Source organism: Homo sapiens, chromosome X (assembly GCF_000001405.40).
Source record: "Homo sapiens chromosome X, GRCh38.p14 Primary Assembly".
Taxonomy (NCBI): Eukaryota; Metazoa; Chordata; class Mammalia; order Primates; family Hominidae; genus Homo; species Homo sapiens.
The window spans coordinates 78,856,263-78,880,392 of NC_000023.11; positions in this window are offsets into that span (position 1 = coordinate 78,856,263).

Consider the following 24,130-nt stretch of genomic DNA (forward strand, 5'->3'; position numbering starts at 1 on the left):
ACAATAGAGTTGTGTCATAAATAATAGCAGACTTTGGACATGCAGAAACAGCGATGGAGGGGTAGGCATGAGATTTGAGGCACAAGGAAGAGCCTAAGTAAAGCCATGGAAGGACAAGTTTGGAGAATGTGTGGAAAGTATTGAATACTTTAGTTTAGATTAGGTAGTGTACAGGATGAGAAGGAGCAGTGTGAGTCAAGATTGAAAAGTGGTTTGGGACCAGGTTGTGAAGGCCCTTAGTTGCCAGGCTAAGGTCCTTGGGTGTAGAAGGCCATTGAATGCTTTTGAGCAGGACATTGGTATTGACTAGAGAGATTATTTTCATCAGGTCTGATTAAACTGAGTTCATGATAAGCCACTGATTATGCACCTTATAAAATGGAAAAGATTACTGTGTGCACAAGCCATAATGTCATCCTGCCTTTGCATGCTGGTGTGGTCTAATAAAAATCCTTCCCTGAAAGAAACATTTGCTTTGTAGTCCCACACAAACCCAGGCATGTCATATTGATTTCCATAAAGTTGTTGTCATAGAAATGCATAATGGTTGTGTCTTTTTTTTCTAGGATTGAGTGGTAGGAGATGACACAGGTAGAAAAACCTGATTTAGGAAATGAGAGAAAATAGCAACAATCTACTAGCAATTAGGAAATTTTAAAAAGACATGAAGATTTCCATTCAGTTAACTTTTGACATGTCCTCCAAAGTATTCCTCCAGGAATTGGTCACACTGGCACAGATCCCAAAAGGGTAATTAACACACCTGCATTTCACAAAGAAAATGTGCCAAGTGTTTCTTACTGCTTGAGCCATATAGTTCTTACTGCTCGAGCCATATAGTTCATACTGCTTAAGCCATATAGTTCCTGTCACCCAGGCTGGAGTGCAGTGGCACTGTCTCGGCTCACTGCAACCTCTGCCTCCTGGGTTCAAGCGATTCTGCTGCCTCAGCCTCCCGAGTAGCTGGGATTACAGGCACCCACCACCACGCCCAGGTAATTTTTGTAGTTTTAGTAGAGATGGGGTTTCACCATGTTGGTCAGGCTGGTCTTGAAATTCTGACATCAAGTGAACCACCCGCCTCGGCCCCCCAAAGTGCTGGGATTACAGGCGTGACCCACCATGCCTGGCTGAGCCATATAGTTCTAATTGAGTCTTCTTGGGCTGGCTTGAGATTTACTTTGACATACATAATAAATTACTATACAGGTAAAAATTATGAAGAATATCTTTTTATATTTCCAGCCATTGCACAGTCCTCTTTTTGCTGAGTATGCAAACTCAGAGTTCCACTTAATCAAAAAATGAGTGTGTGAGAGCCTGCTCTTTGTAAGTTGGGTATACCAAGAGGCTCTGTGATTCTCTAATGTAATGCTGATTTGTTGTGGTTGTCTAGTGTATTCCTCCTTTGTTGTGGTGTCTTCTGGGCACCTGGGCCTAGTCCTTTCTCTTTGATAGTTAAACTTTTTTAATTATTTTTTTGGGGAAAACTGATGCCATTCGCTATAAGCTTATTCACTGACCTACTTTTCAATGGATGGTCACTTTTTAAATTACCCTAGTACTTTCCCTTTTTCTTCTATCTGTATTCCTCCTCTTTCAGCATAATCTATTGAGCTGAATCTTTAATCACATCCTATACTTGATTCTACCCCTCTCCTTAACACAAACCTCTTGGCCTCTACTCTTTGCACATGCTCAACATCCTGAAAAAAATTCACTTTTTTTTACTTCCCTCTTCCTTCTGGCTAGCTCCCTTCATTATTTTTAGAGCTCTATTGAGGTACAATGAATATACAAATAATTGCACATATTTAAATGTATACAACTTGATAATTTGGAACATATTCATACACCTGTGATATCATCACCACAATCAATGTATTAAATACATTCATCACCTCCAAATATTTTCTTGTGCTCCTTTGCTTGTTTGCTGTCTTCATTCTTTCATTGCCAAAATACTCATTGTTTCCATTTACTCACTCTTCCAAAATACTTATTGCTTCCATTTTCTCAATGCCCACGTAGTAATCATAGCTAATATTTAGTGAATGCTTTACATAATTTAACTTATTAATCTTCACAATAAGTCCATGTGGTAGGTACTATTTATTATTACCCTATTGAAATGATTTGGCTCGGTGTTCCTACCCAAATCTCATGTTGAATTGTAATCCCCACATGTTGAAGGAGTTTCCAGGTGGGAGGCGACATCATGGGGTCATACTTCCTCCTTGCTGTTCTCATGATAGAGTTCTCACGAGATCTGGTTGTTCGGAAGCGTGTAGCGCTTCCCCGTTCATTCTCTCTCTCCCTGCTCTGCCATGGTAAAGATGTACTTGCTTCCTCTTCGTCTTTTAAAATGATGTAAGTTTCCTGAGGCCTCTCAGCCATGCTTCCTTTTCAGGCTACAGAACCGTGAGTCAATTAAACCTCTTTTGTTAATTAATTACCCAGTCTCAGGTAGTTCTGTATAGCAGTGTGAGAATAGACTAATACACCTATAAATTTTATAAATGAAGAAACATAGTCATGAAGAGGTCAAACAACTTGTTCAAAGTCACACAAACAGTAAGAGGTAGAACCAGGATTACAATCCAAGCAGTCTGGCTCCAGAGTTGATGCTCTTTACAACTATGCTGTACTGTCTCCCAGTAACACTTTTGGAGATCAGTAACCTTTCAGTCCAGTCCAATAGTGTCTATTTAGTGCATCTATATCTGTTCTTTTCCTGTGACACCACACTATTTGGATTTCCCTTTTACTTTTATTATTGCTCTTCCTTGATATTTTATGTAAGTTCCACTTTCTATTTCCCTACCTTCAGTTTAAAACACTTTGTCTTCAATTCTAATAATTTCCTGCTTTGAATGACATATCAACTTTCACAGTTTGATTATCATCTACTTGGATAAATCTCAAATTGCTGTCTCTTGCCTTATATAGACAAGCAAGTCTAATTGTTGCAAAGAATGTTAAGCATCATTTGTAACAACCACTGCGAACTAGGAAGATCCTGCTATTATCGCAAAACAGCATTTCATAAAATTTCACTAATCACTTTTCCCCCATGTCTCTAACTAACTTCTTCCTCATGACTTCCCTGTTTTGGAAATGGTGACTTCATTCATCAAAATTCAAAAACTTGAAATGATTCTCCAACTATTCTTTTTGGACTCCCTCATACTGTTAGTAAATAAAATAAACACTTAAAATATTTACTGGATATCTACTATGTGCCAGCTCTGTGCTAGGCACAGTTGATATAATCACTGACAAGTTTCCTGCTTTCATAAAACTTCTTAAAATCATTTTAACATATCTTGCCTCACTTCTTACTGAAACCCATTTACAAGCCAAAATAATTGTAAGGCTAGATGTATTCTATACCTTCAAAAATGATAGTAATTAGTACTGTCATTTATGTAGGTTAGAGGGAGCAGAAGTAAAGTCATTGGGTGTAAACTATTGGGAAGACAGGCTTTTGTCAAGGAATGTAGATTAATTTTTTAACATAGATACTTTACAGTGGAATAATTTTGAACTAGTGAACATGCTTACTGTAAGTATGTAAGCACTGACTAGATTCATTCATTCATGTAACAGATATTTATTATATGCCTACTGTTTACCAAGCTCTGTGTCAGACTGTGGGTATACACAAGTGAATACGATAAAAAGTTATTGTGTTCATGGAGCTTATCTTCGCAAAAAGGTGACCTTGTTTTAGTCAGGGAAGTAGTAAATATGATTCTAGCACTTGTTGGAAGACTGGACTAGATAATGCTAAACTCCATTCTAACTATCATAGTTTATAATTCTGACATCTCTCTGTCCCTAATTACTTCTCCTTACCATATATACTCTGAATTACTACCAGAAAATGTTTCTCAATACAGCCTTGATAATATTACTTTCTAAATCAAGTGACTCTGATAACTTTCTACTGACAAAAAAATCTCACTTTAGCCTGTCCATAAAGGCTGTCAGTTATTTCATCCCACTTTCTTTCCCACCCTTTTTTTATTATTATCCTCTAAAAACTGTAAATTTTAGCAAGGTGGCCTGTCAAATGCACCTTGGAAAGGCTACAACACATAAATAGGTCCATTCATCTTTCATTAATTCGATTAATCCATTCTTTACAAATATTAATATAGCACTTAATTGAGTGCAATCATTGATCTAGATACTAGAACTGTGAATAAAATTAACAAAACGCTGTCTTACTCTGTTTTGTGTTGCTATAACAGAGTACTTGAGGTTGGGTGATTTATAAAGAAAAAATAATATTTAGATCGTGGTCTTCAGGCTGGGAAGTTCAAGAAACATAGTGCTGGCATCCACTTGGCCTCTGGTGAGGGCATTCATGCTGCATAAAATTATGGTGGAAAGTCAAAGAGAAGCAGGCATGTAGGAAGAGCAAAACCTGAAAAGCATCCTGGCTTTGCCACAACCCAATTTCATGAGACCTAATCCACTCCTGAGAGGATTAATCTAGGATCATCAGAGCAAGAATGAACTTACTACTGTCAGAATAGCACTAAGCCATTTATGAGATATCTGGCCCTGTGACCCAAACACCTGGTGGTGGTAGTAGTGGCCACAGGGAGAGGCTCCTCTGCCTATGGAAAGGGGAGGAAAGAGTAGGAAGGACTTTGTATTGTGGTTTGAGTGCCAACTTAGTGACTGTAGAATAGAACATCAGGCAAATTTCTAAGGTTTTTGAACCCAATCCCCAGCTCCCAGACAGTATCTCTGGATGCTCCTAGGACCTGGGGGAAATCACTGCCCTGATTTGTGGGCAGTGATTTTTGGGAAGGACACAAACCTGGCAGGCTTTGAAGCCAGCTTATCATAGAGTCCTAGGGCCTTGAGTGAACATAGGTTGTAACCAAGTACTAGTTACAATTGGCCTTGGACGAGACCTAGCAGTCTGCTGGCTTCAGGTCTGACCTAGTATTGTCCAGGTGGTGGTGGTCACAGGGGTGTTTGCATCACCTCACCCCACGTTGAAAGCAGCTCAGCACAAAGAAAGAGACTCCATTTCTTTGTGAGAAAGCAAAGGAAAAGAACAAGAATATCTGCTTGATAATCCAGAGAATCCTTCCAGATCTTATCCAAGACCACATGGTGTTACTTCTATGAGTCTGCAAAAATCACAGGGTTGTTGGGCTTGGGGACCAAGTCAATTTCAATACCTGGAAAGCCTTCTCAAGAAGAGCAGGAACAAAGAAGCACAGCCTGTGAAGACTAAAATAAATACCTAACTCTTCAATGCCCAGACACTGAGAAACATCAATAAGATTCAAAGAATCATCCAGGAAAATACTATCTAACAAAAATGAACTAAATAATACACCAGGGACAAATCCTGGAGAAACAGAGGTATGTGAGATTTCAGAAAGATAATTCAAAATAGTTGTTTTGAGGAAACTCAAAGAAATTAAAGATAACACAGAGAGGAACTCAGAATTCTATCAGATAAATTTAACAAAGAGATTGAAGTAATTAAAAATAATCAAGCAGAAATTCTACACTTGAAAAATCCAATTGATATACTGAAGAGTGCATCAGAGTCTCTTAATAAAACTGATCAAGCAGAAGAAAGAATTTGTGAGCTTGAAGACAAGCTATTTGAAAATACAAAATCAGAGGAGACAAAAGAAAAAAAATAACCTAGTGATACATCTTAAAGAACTAGAAAAGCAAGAGTAAAGAGAACCCAAATTTAGTAGAAGAAAATAAATAATAGGTATCAGAGCAAAAATAAGTAAAATTGTAATGAAGGAAACAATAAAAAGATCAATGAAACAGGGTCACTTGTTTGAAAAGATAAGCAAAGTTAAAAATCATTTAGTCAATCTAGTAAAAAGAAAAGGTAGAATATCCAAATATATTAAATCAGACATAAAAAAGAAGACATTACAACTGATGCTACTGAAATTATAAGGATCACTAGTGGCCACTATGAGCATCTATATGCCAATAAATTGGAAAATCTAGAGTAAATTGATGAATTCCTAGATGAATACAACTTACCAAGATGGAACCACGAAGAAATCCAAAACCTGAACAGACCAATAACAAGTAACAAGATTGAAGCTGTAATTAGTCTCCCAGTAAATAAAAGCCTGGAACCCAATGACTTCACTGCTGAATTCTACCAAACGTTTAAAAAAGAACTAATACTAACCTTACCCAAACTATTCCAAACAGCAGGAGAGGAGGAAATATTTTCAAACTATATTCTATGAAACCAGTATTACCCTGATGCCAAAACCAGACAAAGTCACTTCAAAAGGAAAGAAAACTACAGGCCAATATCTCTGATGAATATTGATGCAAAAAATTCTCATCTAAATACTAGCAAACCAAATTCAATAATACATAAGAAAGATCATACATCATGACCAAGTGGGATTTTTCCCAGGGTTGCATGGATGGTTCAACATATGTAAATCAATCAATGTGACACATCATATGAACATTCTGAAGGAAAAAAAAAAACACATTACCCTTTCAATTGATGCTGAAAGAGCATTTGATAAAAGCCAATATCCCTTAAGGATAAAAACACTCAAAAACTGGGTATAGAAGGAACATGCCTCAACATAATAAAAGACATATATAAAAAATCCACAGCTAGTATCATGCTTAATGGGGAAAACCTGAAAGTCTTTCTTCTAAGATCTGCAAGAAGACAAGGGTATTCATTTTCACCACTGTTATTTACATAATATTGGAAATCCTAGATAGAGCAATCGGATAAGAGAAAAATATAAAATGCCTCTAAATTGGAAAGGAAGAAGTCAAATTATTCTTGTTTGTAAATGACATGATCTTATTATGTTTGGAAAAACGTAAAGACTACAACAAAATCTATTAGAACTGATAAACAAATTTTGTAAACTTGCAGGTACAAAATCAACATACAAAAATTAGTATCATTTCTATATGCCAACAGTGAATAATCTGAAAAAGAAATAAAAGAAGTAATTGTATTGACAATAGCCAAAAATAAAATAAAATACCTAGGAATTAATGAAAGAAGGGAAAGATCTCTATAATGAAAACTATGTAACACTGATGCAAGAAATTGAAGAGGGCACCAAAAATGTAAATATATTTTGTGTTCATGGATTGGAAGAATAAATACTGTTAAAATGTCCATACAACCCAAAGCAATCTACAGATTCAATACAATTCCTATCAATCAAAATACCAATGACATTCTTCATAGAAATAAAAATTTAAAAATCTTGAAATTTATATAGAATCACAAACAACCAGAATGGCCAAAGTTTTCCTGAGCAATAAGAAAAAAATTACCATTTTCCACAGAATTAGAAAAAAAAAATCCTAAAATTCATATGGAAACAAAAAAGAGCCTGAATAGCCAAAGCAATCTTAAGCAAAAAGAACAAAGCTGAAGGCATCACATTAGCTGACTTCAATCAATACTACAAGCCTATTGCTACCAAAACAACATGGTACTGGTAAAAATATAGACACACAGATCAATGGAACAGAATAGAGAATCCAGAAATAAAGCCACACACCTACAACCAACTGATCTTTGACAAAGCTGATGAAAATAAGCAATGGGCCCGGTGTGGTGGCTCACCCTGCAATCCAGCACTTTGGGAGGCTGAGGTGGGTGGATCATCTGAGGTCAGGAGTTTGAGACCAGCCTGGCCAACATGGAAAAACACTGTCTCTACTAAAAATACAAAAATTAGCTGGACATGGTGGCAGCCACCTATAATTCCAGCTACTCAGGAGGCTGAGGAAGGAGAATCACTTGAACCTGGGAGGCAGAGGTTGCAGTGAGCCTAGATAGCACCACTGCATTCTAGCCTGGGCCACAAGAGTGAAACTTGGTCTCAAAACAAAACAAAACAAACAAACAAAAAATGAAAACAAGCAAGAGTCACCTTATTCAATAAATGGTGCTGAGCAAGCTGGCTAGCCATATGTAGAAGAATGAAGCTAACACCTATCTCTCATCATATACAAAAATTAACACAGAATGCAAGGCACACTCTTGTGGGAATACAAATTACTTCAACCCCTATGGAAAACAGTATGGAAATTTGTCACAGAACTAAAAATAGAACTACCATTTGACCTGGCACTCCCACTACTGGATATTTACCAAAAGGAATATAAATCATTTAATCAAAAAGACAATTGCACTTGCATGTTTATTGCAGCACTATTCACAGTAGCAAAGCCATGGAATCAACCTAGGTGTCTATCAAGTATGATTAGATAAAGAAAATGTGATATGTATACACAATGGAATACCATGGAGTCTTAAAAGGAATGAAAGTATGTCATTTGCTTTGCATTTCTCTGATAGTCAGAGATGGTGAACATTTTTTCATGTGTTTTTTGGCTGCATAGATGTCTTCTTTTGAGAAGTGTCTGTTCATATCCTTCGCCCACTTTTTGATGGGGTTGTTTGTTTTTTCCTTGTAAATTTGTTTGAGTTCATTGTAGATTCTGGATATTAGCCCTTTGTCAGATGAGTAGGTTGTGAAAATTTTCTCCCATTTTGTAGGTTGCTTGTTCACTCTGATGGTAGTTTCTTTTGCTGTGCAGAAGCTCTTTAGTTGAATTAGATCCCATTTGTCAATTTTGGCTTTTGTTGCCATTGCTTTTGGTGTTTTAGACATGAAGTCCTTGCCCATGCCTATGTCCTGAATGGTAATGCCTAGGTTTTTTCTAGGGTTTTTATGGTTTTAGGTCTAATGTTTAAGTCTTTAATCCGTCTTGAATTAATTTTTATATAAGGTGTAAGGAAGGGATCCTGTTTCAGCTTTCTACATCTGGCTAGGCAGTTTTCCCAGCACCATTTATTAAATAGGGAATCCTTTCCCCATTGCTTGTTTTTCTCAGGTTTGTCAAAGATTAGATAGTTGTAGATATGCAGCATTATTTCTGAGGGCTCTGTTCTGTTCCATTGATCTATATCTCTGTTTTGGTACCAGTACCATGCTGTTTTGGTTACTGTAGCCTTGCACTATAGTTTGAAGTCAGGTAGCATGATGCCTCCAGCTCTGTTCTTTTGGCTTAGGATTGACTTGGCAATGCGGGCTCTTTTTTGGTTCCATATGAACTTTAAAGTAGTTTTTTCCAATTCTGTGAAGAAAGTCATTGGTAGCTTGATGGGGATGGCATTGAATCTGTAAATTACCTTGGGCAGTATGGCCATTTTCATGATATTGATTCTTCCTACCCATGAGCATGGAATGTTCTTCCATTTGTTTGTATCCTCTTTTATTTCCTTGAGCAGTGGTTTGTAGTTCTCCTTGAAGAGGTTCTTCACGTCCCTTGTCAGTTGGATTCCTAGGTATTTTATTCTCTTTGAAGCAATTGCGAATGGGAGTTCACTCATGATTTGGCTCTCTGTTTGTCTCTTGTTGGTGTATAAGAATGCTTGTGATTTTTGTACATTGATTTTGTATCCTGAGACTTTGCTGAAGTTGCTTATCAGCTTAAGGAGATTTTGGGCTGAGACAATGGGGTTTTCTAGATATACAATCATGTCATCTGAAAACAGGGACAATTTGACTTCCTCTTTTCCTAATTGAATACCCTTTATTTCCTTCTCCTGCCTAATTGCCTTGGCCAGAACTTCCAACACTATGTTGAATAAGAGTGGTGAGAGAGGGAATCCCTGTCTTGTGCCAGTTTGAAAAGGGAATGCTTCCAGTTTTTGCCCATTCAGTATGATATTGGCTGTGGGTTTATCATAGATAGCGCTTATTATTTTGAGATATGTCCTATCAATACCTAATTTATTGAGAAGTCACTTTCAGGTACACCAATCAGATGTAGATTTGGTCTTTTCACAAAGTCCCATATTTCTTGGAGGCTTTGTTCGTTTCTTTTTATTCTTTTTTCTCTAAACTTCCCTTCTCGCTTCATTTCATTCATTTCATCTTCCATCACTGATACCCTTTCTTCCAGTTGATCGCATCGGCTCCTGAGGCTTCTGCATTCTTCATGTAGTTCTCAAGCCTTGGCTTTCAGCTCCATCAGCTCCTTTAAGCACTTCTCTGTATTGGTTATTCTAGTTATATATTCGTCTAAATTTTTTTCAAAGTTTTCAACTTCTTTGCCTTTGGTTTGAATTTCCTCCTGTAGCTCGGAGTAGTTTGATCGTCTGAAGCCTTCTTCTCTCAACTCGTCAAAGTCATTTTCCGTCCAGCTTTGTTCTGTTGCTGGTGAGGAGCTGCATTCCTTTGGAGGAGGAGAGGCGCTCTGCTTTTTAGAGTTGCCAGTTTTTCTGCTCTGTTTTTTCCCCATCTTTGTGGTTTTATCTACTTTTGGTCTTTGATGATGGTGATGTACAGATGGGTTTTTGGTGTGGATGTCCTTTCTGTTTGTTAGTTTTCCTTCTAACAGACAGGACCCACAGCTGCAGGTCTGTTGGAGTTTGCTAGAGGTCCACTCTAGACCCTGTTTGCCTGGGTACCAGCAGCAGTGGCTGCAGAACAGCGGATTTTCGTGAACCGTGAATGCTGCTGTCTGATCGTTCCTCTGGAAGTTTTGTCTCAGAGGAGTACCCAGCCGTGTGAGGTGTCAGTCTGCCCCTACTGGAGGGTGCCTCCCAGTTAGGCTGCTCGGGGGTCAGGGGTCAGGGACCCATTTGAGGAGGCAGTCTATCTGTTCTCAGATCTCCAGCTGTGTGCTGGGAGAACCACTGCTCTCTTCAAAGCTCTCAGACAGGGACATTTAAGTCTGCAGAGGTTACCATCTCACACCAGTTAGAATGGCAGTCATTAAAAAGTCAGGAAACAACAGGTGTTGGAGAGGATGTGGAGAAATAGGAACACTTTTACACTGTTGGTGGGACTGTAAACTAGTTCAACCATTGTGGAAGTCAGTGTGGCAATTACTCAGGGATCTAGAACTAGAAATACCATTTGACCCAGCCATCCCATTACTGGGTATATACTCAAAGGACTATAAATCATGCTGCTATAAAGACACATGCACACATATGTTTATTGCGGCATTATTCACAATGCCAAAGACTTGGAACCAACCCAAATGTCCAACAGTGATAGACTGGATTAAGAAAATGTGGCACATATACACCATGGAATACTATGCAGCCATAAAAAATGATGAGTTCATGTCCTTTGTAGGGACATGGATGAAATTGGAAATCATCATTCTCAGTAAACTATCGCAAGAACAAAAACCAAACACTGCATATTCTCACTCAGAGGTGGGAATTGAACAATGAGAACACATGGACACAGGAAGGGGAACATCACACTCTGAGGACTGTTGTGGGGTGGGGGGAGTGGGGAGGGATAGCTTTAGGAGATATACCTAATGCTAAATGACGAGTTAATGGGTGCAGCACACCAACCTGGCACATGTATACATATGTAACTAACCTGCACATTGTGCACATGTACCCTAAAACTTAAAGTATAATAATAATTAAAAAAAAGAAAGTATGTCATTTGCCTCAACATGGATGGAGCTGGATGCCATTATGCTACATGAAATAAGTCAGAAAGAGAAAATCAAACACTACATTTTCTTACTTACAATTGGAAGCTGAACAATGAATACACATGAACACAAAGATGAAAATAAGAAACACTGGAGACTCCAAAAAAGGGTAGGTAGGAAGTGGTTGAGGGTCAAAAAACTATCTGTTGGGTACTATGTTCACTACTTCGGTGACAGATCCACTAAAAACCCAAACCTTACCATTATGCAATATACTCATGTAACAAACCTACACATGTGCTCCCAAACCTAAAATTTAAAGAAAGTACCCTTAGATTTGAAGTTAGCCTCAAGTTTTTGTCCTCATCTCATTTTACACGAGGTACAGAATAAGGACGAGCAAAATTCCTCAGGATCCTTGAGGCAGCCTGGCTACCCCAGGATCCTCACTACTTCCTGGAATACCTTTTGGTCTTCCAGGTCACAGTTAAAATTAATGTATGTTTCTAAGTCACTCTCTGTCCTATGAGAATAAAGAATCATTGTACTGCAATGCAATACACCTTATGTATTAAAGTATGAGCTAAGGGACCTGTGTCTTGTCCCGGTGCTGTCACTAACTGGATGTATAATTTGGACAAGCTCTTTCATCTTTGTGGGTTCTCCATCTTTAAAATAAATGGCCTGGACAAAATAATCCTTCCAGGTAATTTTCAACTTGACATTGAAAGATTCTGGTAAGATGGATCAGTTATTGAATCTGCCTTGGCTTGGCATCATTTTGTATCAGTTACCCATGGTGAAAAAATTCCTGAATCTGTAGGAATGACTTGCTATGTTTTTATGGATTAAGCGTTTTTTTCATTCTATTTGAAGGTATGTTGGCTCTTTTGGGTAAAAATTCAGAGTATGAAGTTAATGAGGCCAAGTTGCAATTGTCATTTACCGTATGGGCAAATTAGTTTTGTTTGTTTCCTGGTCACAGTCTCTACCCTATTAATCTTCCCCTCTTTCCTCCAGCCATTTCAGCGATACAAGTTTCAAGGCAAGACTCAGCATGAATGTCCACGGATTAGTACTGATCATTCTCAAGACTGAGAAAAGCACTCCAGTAACATTTGAGCAGCAGCATTTTTTGGCAGATGAGGGTAGCATAATCATAATTAATGGAGGCCACCATGAGTTCTGGAGGTGACTCTCTGTATTATATCAGCCTTTAAGTGCATGACAAGAACAGTCAGTTAAACATCAGCCAGAGAAATGATTGAAATGCCTCTGCCTTGTCCATTGGAGGTAGTACCTCTTACAACTATGGGCCAAATTAAGGCCAAGAAAAGTAAAGATGACAGAATTATTTGTGGTGAAAGCCATCTGGGTTTTGTTTCTAGTTTCGAGCACAAAACATAATATTCCCAGGCATTTGGAATGGATATGCCAGATGCTTGGGATTCTTTTTTTTTTTTAAGGTTTTCATGTAAAATAGTTGAATTGGGGTGAGGAATGGAATCTTCATTATTCTTTGCTGTGATGTGTTTGTTTGCCTAAGAGGGAAAATCTAGCACACGTTGGATACTGCCTCATCTTCAGTGACATTACAGTACAAACAAATGATTCTCAAGTGTGACCAGTTAGCTGGCTAAAGTCATCAGAGCCTCATTATGGCTGTGGCTTATTTCTTAGCCTTGGAAAAGATGCCTTGTCTGGGGTACTCTATACAGCTAAAGCTTAGATATGAGTAGTGGTGTTTCAAGCAGTTGAGCTTTCAAACAAAGACTCATCCAAAGCATGAACATTGGAAAGAAAGAGTGGGAGAAGCAAATGAGGATTAATAAAGGCATCAGAACAACAGCAGACACCGCAAGGGAGTAGAAAAGCTAAGTCTAGGAATATCATAGAGAATATACCTGTTCAACATGGAAAATGTGGATAGATAGCCTATAAGTTTAGGAAGTGAAGAGATTAGAAATCAAGCATATGTAGGTTTGAATTCTGGCCCTCTCACTTATTGACTACATAAACTTGGGGAAGACACTTAACTATACTGAAGCTGTTTCCTCATCTTTGAAATGGGGATAGTAATAGTAATAATCTCACAAATGTTAGTCCCTTCTTGTTTCAACTCTAGATGTTTAGGATTTTAAGCAGATTTTTTCCAAATTTCTTCCCTCCTTCTCTAGGCCTATAATGGAGATCACACTACACACATACCAGACATAAACATTTAAGATAGGGAGTACATGAACTGACTCTTATTCCAAATGAGCTGTACAAGACATCTGCTCCTTTTTCCTAAGAGCAGGATTCAATGGGAGGCAGAAAGTGAGAGAAGGGGACATACCTATGGAGCAGTAATTAAACACAAGCACTGTAACAGATTATTTATGTATATTACTTCATCAAGACACCAATCTTTACTAAGTAAACAATATAATGCCTGTGCTAAAGAGTAGAAAGTGGAGGTTCAGATGATTAATTTGCCTACATCCAATGAGCTAGAGATCTAGAGAATGTCAGCAATGAGATTAAAACCTAGGCCTGGGTGACTTCAAATCCTGAGCTCTTTTCATATAAGTCAGTGGATCCTGAAAACAAACTTGTGAGGTAGGAAGATGAAGGTTATTATTTTCATTTTTCTGCTTCTATTTTTGGGGGAGGAAAATGGAACCCAGAGAAGTTTAGTGACTGGATTATTGTATGTCAAAATCAAAACTAGAATCTTGGGTGCTTCCTTCTATTGTTCACCTTCTTTACATTAATTTTCTCCCCTTCCCATTATATGGGCAATGTTTGCAAAGCATCAAGCATGGAACGCATGGCTCTGCTCTTCATGATGGGTGCTCAAGCAGATGTCAGGAAAAACATTTTGTGGAGGGTGATAAAATTATATCAAGCTGAAAAAATGCTCTTAGAAATCCCTACCTTAAGACTTTGAGCTGTGATTATTCACCTTTTTTAAGTAATGCTCTTCTACAAGCATATGATCAAAGCGGTGGATTCTCCCTAGATAAAATACACATGTACAGCATTCTACAAATTATTTCAGGTTTTGGGGGGTGTTTTATTTTTTTTGAGACAAGGCCTCACTATGTCACCCATCTGGAGTGTAGTGCCACTATCTCGGCTCACTGCAACTTCTGTCTCCCAGGCTCAAACAGTACTCCCACTTCAGCCAACCAAGTAGCTGGAACTATAGGTGAATGCCACCACACTCAACTAATTTTAATTTTTGCTTTTAATTGAGACGGGGCTTCCCTATATTGCCCAGGCTGGTCTTGAACTCCTGGGCTCAAGCAAAGTCTTAAGATAGGGATTCCAAGCAATCCACCTGCTTCAGCCTCCCAAAGTGTTGGGGTTACAGGCATGAGCCACAGCACCCAGCCAACTTCAGGGTTTTTTAGACTTGAGAAAGGAAGATAAGTTAAGAGAACCACAAAGATGTGTTGTCTAAAGCAACTTACTGACTTATGAAGCTATCTTGGAGTCATTTTGCCCTAAGTGATCTTCCTTTCCCCTAATCACCTAAAATTTTTAGCATCCTCACTTAGATTAGCATTGGTGAAACATATTGTGTAGAAGAAGTTTCAGGTCTTAGATTTAAGTCCTTGATCCATCTTGAGTTGATTTTTATATAAGGTGAGAGATGAGGATCCAGTTTCATTCTCCTACATGTGGCTAGTCAATTATCCTAGCATCATTTGTTGAAAAGGGTGTCTTTCCCCCACTTTATGTTTTTGTTTGCTTTCTCAAAGATCAGTTGGCTGTAAGTATTTAGGTTTATTTCTGGGTTCTCTATTCTGTTCCATTGGTCTATGTGCCTATTTTTATGCCAGTGCCATGCTGTTTTGGAGACTATGGCCATGTAATATAGTTTGAAATCAGGTAATGTGATGCCTCCAGGTTTGTTCTTTTTGCTTAGTCTTGCTTTGGCTATGCAAATGGCTAACAAATTATGAAAAAATACTCAACATCTCTAATGATAAGGGAAATGCAAATCAAAACCACAATGCAATACCACCTTACTCCTGCAAGAATGACCATAATCAAAAAATTTAATAAAATAGATGTTGGCATGGATGCGGTGAACAGAGAACACTTCTGTACTCCTGGCAGGAGTGTAAACTAGTACAAGCACTATGGAAAACAGTGTGGATATTCTTTATAAAACTAACAAACTAAATGTAGAACTACCATTTGATCTAGCAATCCCACTACTGGGTATCTACCCAGAGAAAAATAAGTCATTATACAAAAACGATAATTGCACATGCATGTTTATAGCAGCACAATTTGCAATTGCAAAGACGTGGAACCAAACCAAATGCCCATCAATCAATGAGTGGATAAACAAACTGTGATATATGTTATTTTATATATATATATATATATATATGCCATTGATTCATTCCTTTTTATGGCTGAGTATTATTCCATTATATAAATATCTATATATATCTATATATACACATATACATATATATAGCAGCACAATTTGAATATATACACATATATACATATATATACATATATACATATATACATATACACATATATACATATATACATATAAATATAAATATTATAGCAGCACAATTTGAAATCGTTTCAGCTTTAGAATCTTTGGGGATAATATTTTCATTGTTGTTATGAGTTGAGCTTTCCCCTCCCACTCTGTGCTACAGTCATACAAAATTGCTTATAGTTGTCCACTCACATCAGGCTGTTTTACACCTCTGTGCAAGGAAGTAAGAATTCATATTACAAACTGAGGAACAATTAAAACTCATTTTCTATGGAGGAAATTATTTCTTTCCTTTCAGAAGGGTTCTGAGCCATTACTTTAGTTCAAATACATACTCACACTGAGCAAGTGTATTGCGCTCAGTTAGGCTGCAGGCTAATGATGTCAGGGAATACAACGATTATTTTGATAATGGCTCTACCCAGGAGGCACTCAAAGTCCTGTAAGGAAGCCAAAAAATGTTAAGATGTGATAAATAATTTTTAAATGAGACCTGAAACTATAAAAATTCTAGAAGATAACATTCATTAGAAAAGCCCTTCTAGACATTGAGTTAAGCAAGAATTTCATGACCAAGAACCCAAAAGCAAATGCAATAAAAGCAAAGATAAATAGCAGGGACATAATTAAACTAGAAAGTTTTGCATGGGAAAAGGAACAGTCAGCAGAGTCAACAGACAACCCACAGAGTGGGAGAAAATCTTCACAATCTATACATCTGACCATGGACTAATATCCAGAATCTACAATGAAGTCAAACAAATCAGCAAGAAAAAAACCAAACAATCTTATCAAAATTGGGCTAAGGAAATGAATAGACAATTCTCTAAAGAAGTTGCCTTGTAAAGAGTAGAATAGGCCTCATTTGGGCCCAACCAGGTTATACTACACTGGTAGTATTTATGAAAAGAGCAAGTTCGCATGGATTTGAAATACAAAAGATCCACAGAATTGACAGAACTTGGTCACTAACTTTATCGGAGAGGTGAAGGAATAGAAGAGGTTGAGCATACTTCAGGTTTTTGGTTTGGGTTAGTGTTGGCCATTTATTAAGATCTGCAATATAGGAGAAAAGCCAGGCTTCTTAAAGGATAGCAAAGATCACCTGTGCTGTTTTGGATTTGTTGAGTTTCAAAATTCTTATGGGACTGTTAGATATAAAAATACAGCCCTGGAATACAAGGGGGAGAGCTATACATGTACGGAAGGCTTGGGTCATAATGCCAAAAAATACAATCCCAAATATCATAATACCAAATGTTGAAATACTGACAGATTAAAATCCCTAAAACTAAATCTCTAATGTCTAAAATACTTCATGCCTAAAATCCCAAAAATCACAATCAGAGGAATCATAGAATTTCAGGAAAAGCAACACCACATAGAAAGTAAACGTGAAGGTATTCTCTGAGAATCATGTTCTAAAAGAACAAAAGCAGCTATTTATTGTGATGCAAGACTTCAAAATAGTTAATGGTGAAAGTCAGCCATCTCTTATGGACTATCTCCATGTAATTGTCCATAATCTATCCCTGTAACACATTTTTCACCTATTGAATTTTCTTTTTAGTTTTTTTCACTATTTTAAATTGACAGCATTTAAAAAAATAATTTGCTATGCTACATATTTTATCTTTGCATCTTTTGCAATACTGGATGTATACATTTTATAAAGACTTTTATCAACTTCAAATTCATGTTATGCATATGTTTGCAAATTTGACTCCATCAAAGTGTATTATCACAATGTTGACTTCGTTTGTAAGTTTTGTGCATATATGTAAAAAACATTGAAACTTCCTCAATAAATGAAGAGCTGTCCTTTTATTTCCATCTGCATTTGTGAAAGAAAACAGTTTTCAAGATCTTGTCTCTTTGGGTAACTGCATGTGTGGTGGTGACCTATGTCAGTTTTTCATTGATCTTATCAAAAGACTTAGGTGAGGGGAAGGTTCAAGATGATCTAATAGAAAAAGCTCCAATCTGCAGCTCCTACCAAGAAGAATTAAAATGGCAAATGAATTCTGCATCTTCAACTGAGGTACACGGGTTCTCTCATTGGATGTGACTAGGTAGTTGTCACAACCCTAGGAGAGTAAGAAAAAGCACGGGGAGCCAGGGCTCACCTGGGATCTGCAAGGGGCAAAGGGAGCTCTCTCTCCCCAGCCAAGGGAGGTGGTGAGTGATTGTGCTACCCACCTGGTAAACCACACTTTTCCCATGGATCTTTGCAACCCGCAGATCAGGAGGTACCCTCATGAACCCACACCACCAAGGCCTTGGGTCCCAAGCAAAGAGCTGTGCACTCGTGGCGGCCACTTGAGTGGGCAACCACTTGAGCAGGCACTGAGACACAGAAGTTTTTGCATACTCTAGTTATGGAAACCCTGGCGAGGCAGGAAATCCATCCATTCCCATAAAAATGAGGCTGGGCCGGGCGTGGTGGCTCACGCCTGTAATCTCAGCACTTTGGAAGGCCGAGGTGGGCGGATCATGAGTTCAGGAGATCGAGACCATCCTGGCCAACATGGTGAAACCCCATCTCTACTAAAAATACAAAAAGCTGGCCGGGCGTGGTGGCAGGCGCCTGTAGTCCCAGCTACTCGGGGGGCTGAGGCAGGAGAATGGCATGAACCCGGGAGGCGGAGCTTGCAGTGAGCCTAGATTGCGCCACTGCACTCCAGCCTAGGCGACAGAGCGAGACTCCGTCTCAAAAAAAAAAAAAAAAAAAAAAATGAGGCTGAAGCCACGGAGCCAAGCAGCATCATTCAGCGGGCCCCACTTCCACAGAACCCCACAAGCTAAAACCCCTGGCTTTTAATCCCCACTGGCCAGTGCAGCAGGCTGGAAACTGCCTAAGACAATCGAGTTCCCAAGGGAGTGGTGGCCACAACCACTGTGGCTGCAGCTGGCAGTTTCCCACTGCAGGTGCCCACGAGACTGGGTGGTTTGAACTGGAAGCAATTTTCCACAGTGTGGCTGTGACAGATCGTGGCCAGACTGCTTCTTTAGGTGGGACCCCAACCCATCCTTCTTCACTGGGGGGGCCTCGCTGTGGGATTTTCAGCATCCCCAGGGGTTTACAGGCAGAACTCTGATCTTCTTGGGAGGAGGCCATAGGGAGAGGGGAGGCCACAGTATTATGGATCAGCAGTCTTAGTCTTTTCTGCCTCTCATTTCTGGTGGGTCTGGGTGCCTGGAGGAAGGGATTTCCCCAGTGCAGCAAACCCACTCTGCTAAGGGGCAGTAAGACTGCTTATTTAAGTCCCTGATCCCCTTCCTCCTGACTGGATGATACCTCCCAACAGGGGTCTCCAGACACCTCATACAGGAGCGTTCCGGTTGGCATCAGGTTGGTGCCCTTCTTGGGTGGAGTTCCTAGAAGAAGGAGCAGGCAGACACATTTTCTGTTCTGCAGCCTCCACTGGTGACACCTCTGGGTGTTGGAGGAAACCAGGTAAATAGAGTCCAGAGTGGGCCCCCAGAAAACCATAGCAGCCCTACAGAAGAAGGGCCTGACTGTTAAAAGAAAAACAAACAGAAAGCAACAACAACAACATCAATAAAAAAGACCACACAAAACCCCATCCATAGGTCAACATCCTCAAAGATCAAAGGTAGATAAACCCATGAAGATGAGAATTAGTGCAAAAATGCTGAAAACTAAAAAAGCCAGAGCCCTTCCTCTCCTCCAAATGATCACAACAAATTTCTAGCAATGGCACAGAACTTGGCTGAGGCTCAGGTGGATGAATTGACAGAATGAGGTAGGTTTCAGAAGGTGGGTAACAATGAATTTGGCTGAGCTAAAGGAGTATGTTCTAACCCAATGCAAAGAAGATAAGAACTATAATAAAACATTACAGGAGCTGTTAACTAGAATAACCAGTTTAGAGAGAACCATAAATGACGTGATGGAGCTGAAAAAGACAACATGAGAACTTCACAATGCAAACCCAAGTATCAATAGCTGAATAGAGAAAGTGAAGAAAAGAATATTAGAGCTCGAAGACTATCTTGCTGAAATAAGGCAGGCAGACAAGATTAGAGAAAAAAATAAAAGGAATAAAAAAAAACTTTGAAAAATATGGGATGTTGTAAAAAAGACCGAACCTATGACTGATTGGGGTACCTGAAAGAGGTGGAGAGAATAGAATCAAGATGGAAAACAAACTTCAGAATATCATCCAGGAGAACTTCCCAACCTAGCAAGACAGGCCAACATTCAAATTCAGGAAATCTAGAGGACCCCAGTAAGATACTGCATGAGAAATAACCATCAAATTCTCCAAGATAAATAACCATCAAATTCTTCAAGGTCAAAATGAAGGAAAAAAATGTTAAGGGCAATCAGAGAGAAATGCCAGGTCACCTACAAAGGGAAGCCCATCAGACTAACAGCAGACCTCTCAGCAGAAATCCTACAAGCCAGAAGGGATTGGGGGCCAATATTCAACATTCTTAAAGAAAATAATTTTGAACCCAGAATTTCATATCTGGCCAAACTAAGCTTCATGAACAAAGGATAAATAGATCCTTTTCAGACAAGCAAATGCTGAGGAAATTCATCAACACCAGGCCTGTCTTGCAGGAGCTCCTGAAGGAAGCACTAAATATGGAAAGGAAAAGCAACTACCAGCCACTACAAAAACACACTGAAGTACACAGACCAATGACACTATGATGCAACTACATAACCAAGTCTGCAAAATAACCAACTAGCATCATAATGACAGGATCAAATTCACACATAACAATATTAACCTTAAATGTAAATGAGCTAAATGCCCCAATCAAAAGAAACAGAATGACAATATGGATACAGTGTCAAGACCCATTAATATGCTGTATTAAAGAGACCCATCTCATGTGCAAAGAAACACATGGACACAAAATAAAGGGATAGAGGAGAATTTGCCAACCAAATGGAAAACAGAAAAAACACAGGGGTTGCAATCCTAGTTTTTGAAAAAACAGACTTTAAGCAAACAAAGATAAAAAAAAAGACAAAGAAGGACATCACATAATGGCCCAGGGGTCAATTCAACAAGAAGAGTTAACTATCCTAAATTTATATGAACCCAATACAGGAGCACCCGGATGCATAAAACAAGTTATAAGAGAGCTACATAGAGACTTAGACTCCCACACAATAATAGTGGAAGACTTTAACACCCCACTTTCTTTATGAGACTGATCACCGAGAGAAAATTAACAAAGATATTTGGGACTTGAGCTCAGCTCTGGATCAAGTGGACCTGAAAAATATCTACAGAACTCTTCACCCCAAAACAACAGAATATACATTCTTCTTGGTGCCACATGGCACTTAATCTAAAATTGATCACATAATTGGAAGTAAAACACTCAGCAAACGCAAAAGAACTGAATAAATAACAAACAGTCTCTCAGACCATGGCACAATTAAATTAGAGCTCGAGATTAAGAAACTCACTTAAAACCACAGAACTACATGAAAATTGAACCAACCTTTTTCTGAATGACTCCTGGGTAAATAATGAAATTAAGAGAGAAATCAAGAAGTTGTTTGAGACCAATAAGAACAAAGAGACAACGAACCAGATTCTCTGAGACACAGCTAAAGCAGTGTTAAGAGGGAAATTTATAGCACTAAATGCCCACATCAAAAAACTAGAAAGATTTCAAATCCACATCCTAACATAACACCTAAAGTAATAGAGAACTAAAAGCAAACAAACCCCCAAAATAGGAGAAGACAAGAAATAACCAAGCTCAGAGCAGAACTGAAGGAGGTAGAGACACGAAAAACCCTTCAACAAATCAACAAATGCAGGAGCATTTTTTTTGAAAAAAAAATTAACAAAATACACATACTGCTAGCTAGACTAATAAAGAAGAAAAGAAAGAAGAATCAAATAGACACAATAAAAAATGATAAAGAGGATATCACCACTGACCACACAAAAATACAAACAACCATCAGATAATATATAAACACCTCTGTGCACATAAACTACAAAACCTACAACAGAAGGATAAATTCCTGGACACATACATGCTTCCAAGAGTGAAACAACAAGAATTTGAATCCCTGACTAGAAAAAGAGCAAGTTCTGAAATTGAGGCAGTAGTAACTAGCCTACCAACCAAAAAATGCACAGGACTGGATGGATTTACAGCTGAATTTTGCCAGAGGTACAAACAGGAGCTGGTACCATTTCTTCTAAAACTATTCCAAACAATTGAAAGGGAGGGACTCCTCCCTAACTCATCTTATGAGGCCAGCATCATCTTGATGCAAAAACGTGACAGAGATACAACAGAAAAAGAATACTTCAGATCAATATCTCTGATGAAAATTAATGCAACAAATTTTCAATAAAAAACTGGCAAACTGAATCCAGCAGCACATCAAAAAGCTTATCCACCACGATCAAGTTGGCTTCATGCCCAGGATGCAAGGATGGTTCAACATAGGCAAATCAATAAACATAATCCATCACATAAATAGATCTGAAGACAAAAACCATATGATTTTCTCAATAGATGCAGAAAAGGCCTTTGAAAAATTCAAACTTTCTTTATGTTACAAACTCTCAATAAACTAGGTATTGAAGGAACACACCTTAAAATAACAAGAGACATTTATGACAAACTTACAGCCAATATTATACTAAAGGGGCATAAGATGAAAGTATTCTGTTTGAAAGCCAGCACAAGACAAGGATACCCTCTCTCATCACTTCTATTCAACATACTATTGCAAGTTCTGGCCGGGGCAATCAGTCAAGAGAAAGAAATAGAGGGTATTCAAATAAGAAGAGAGGAAGTCAAAGTGTCTTTTCAGATGACATAATCCTATATCTAACAAACCCCATCACCTAAGCCTAAAAACTGCTTAAGCTGATAAGCAACTTCAGCAAAGTCTCAGAATAGAAAATCATTGTGCAAAAATTACAAGCATTCCTATACACCAACAACAGACAAGCAGAAAGCCAAATCATAAATGAGCTCCCATTCACAATTGCTACAAAGAGAATAAAATACCTACGAATACAGCTAATAAGGGAAGCAAAGGACCTCTTATAGGAGAACTACAAACAACTGCTCAAGAAAACCAGAGAGGACACAAACAAATGTAAAAATATTCCATGCTCATGGATAGGAAGAATCAATATCATGAAAATGGCTATATTGCCCAAAGTAATTTGTAGATTCAATGCTATTCCCATTAAACTACCATTGACATTTTTCACAGAAATAGAAAAAATATATTTTAAAATTCATATGGAACCCAAAAAGAGCTAGTATAGCCAAGGCAGTCCTAAGCAAAAAGAACAAAGCTGGAAGCATCATGCTACCTGACTTCAAACTACACTACAATGCTACAGTAACAAAAACAGCATGGTACTAGCACAAAAACAGCCATGTAGACCAGTCGAACAGAATAGAGATCTCAGAAATAAGACTGCACATCTACAGCCATCTGATCTTTGACAAACCTGACAAAAACAAGCAATGGGGAAAGGATTCTCTGTTTAATAAATGGTGCTAGGAGAACTGGCTAGCTATATGCAGAAAATTAAAATGGGACACTTTACTTACACCTTATACAAAAAGCAACTCAAGATGGATTAAAAACCTAAATGTAAAACCCAAAACTATAAGAACCCTCGAAGAAAATCTAGGCAATACCATTCAGGACATAGGCACGGGAAAATATTTCATGATGAAATCGCCAAAAGCAATTGCAACAAAAGCAAAAATGGAAACTAAGTAAACTATAGAGCTTCTGCACAGGGAAAATAAATAAATAAATAAATAAACTATTATCAGTGTGAACAGGTCACCTACAGAGTGTGAGAAAATTTTTACAATCTGTCCATCTGACAAAGGTCTAGTATCCAAAATCTACAAAAAACTTAAACAAATTTACAAAAAAACCCAAACAACCCCATTAGAAAGTGGGCAAAGAACATGAACAGACACTTCTCAAAAGAAGACATTCATGTGCCCAAAAAACATATGAAAAAAAGCTCAACATCTTGGATTATTAGAGAAATGCAAATCAAAACCACAAGGAGATACAATCTCAAGCCAGTCAGAGTGGTAATTATTTAAAAATCAGGAAACAACAGATTCTGG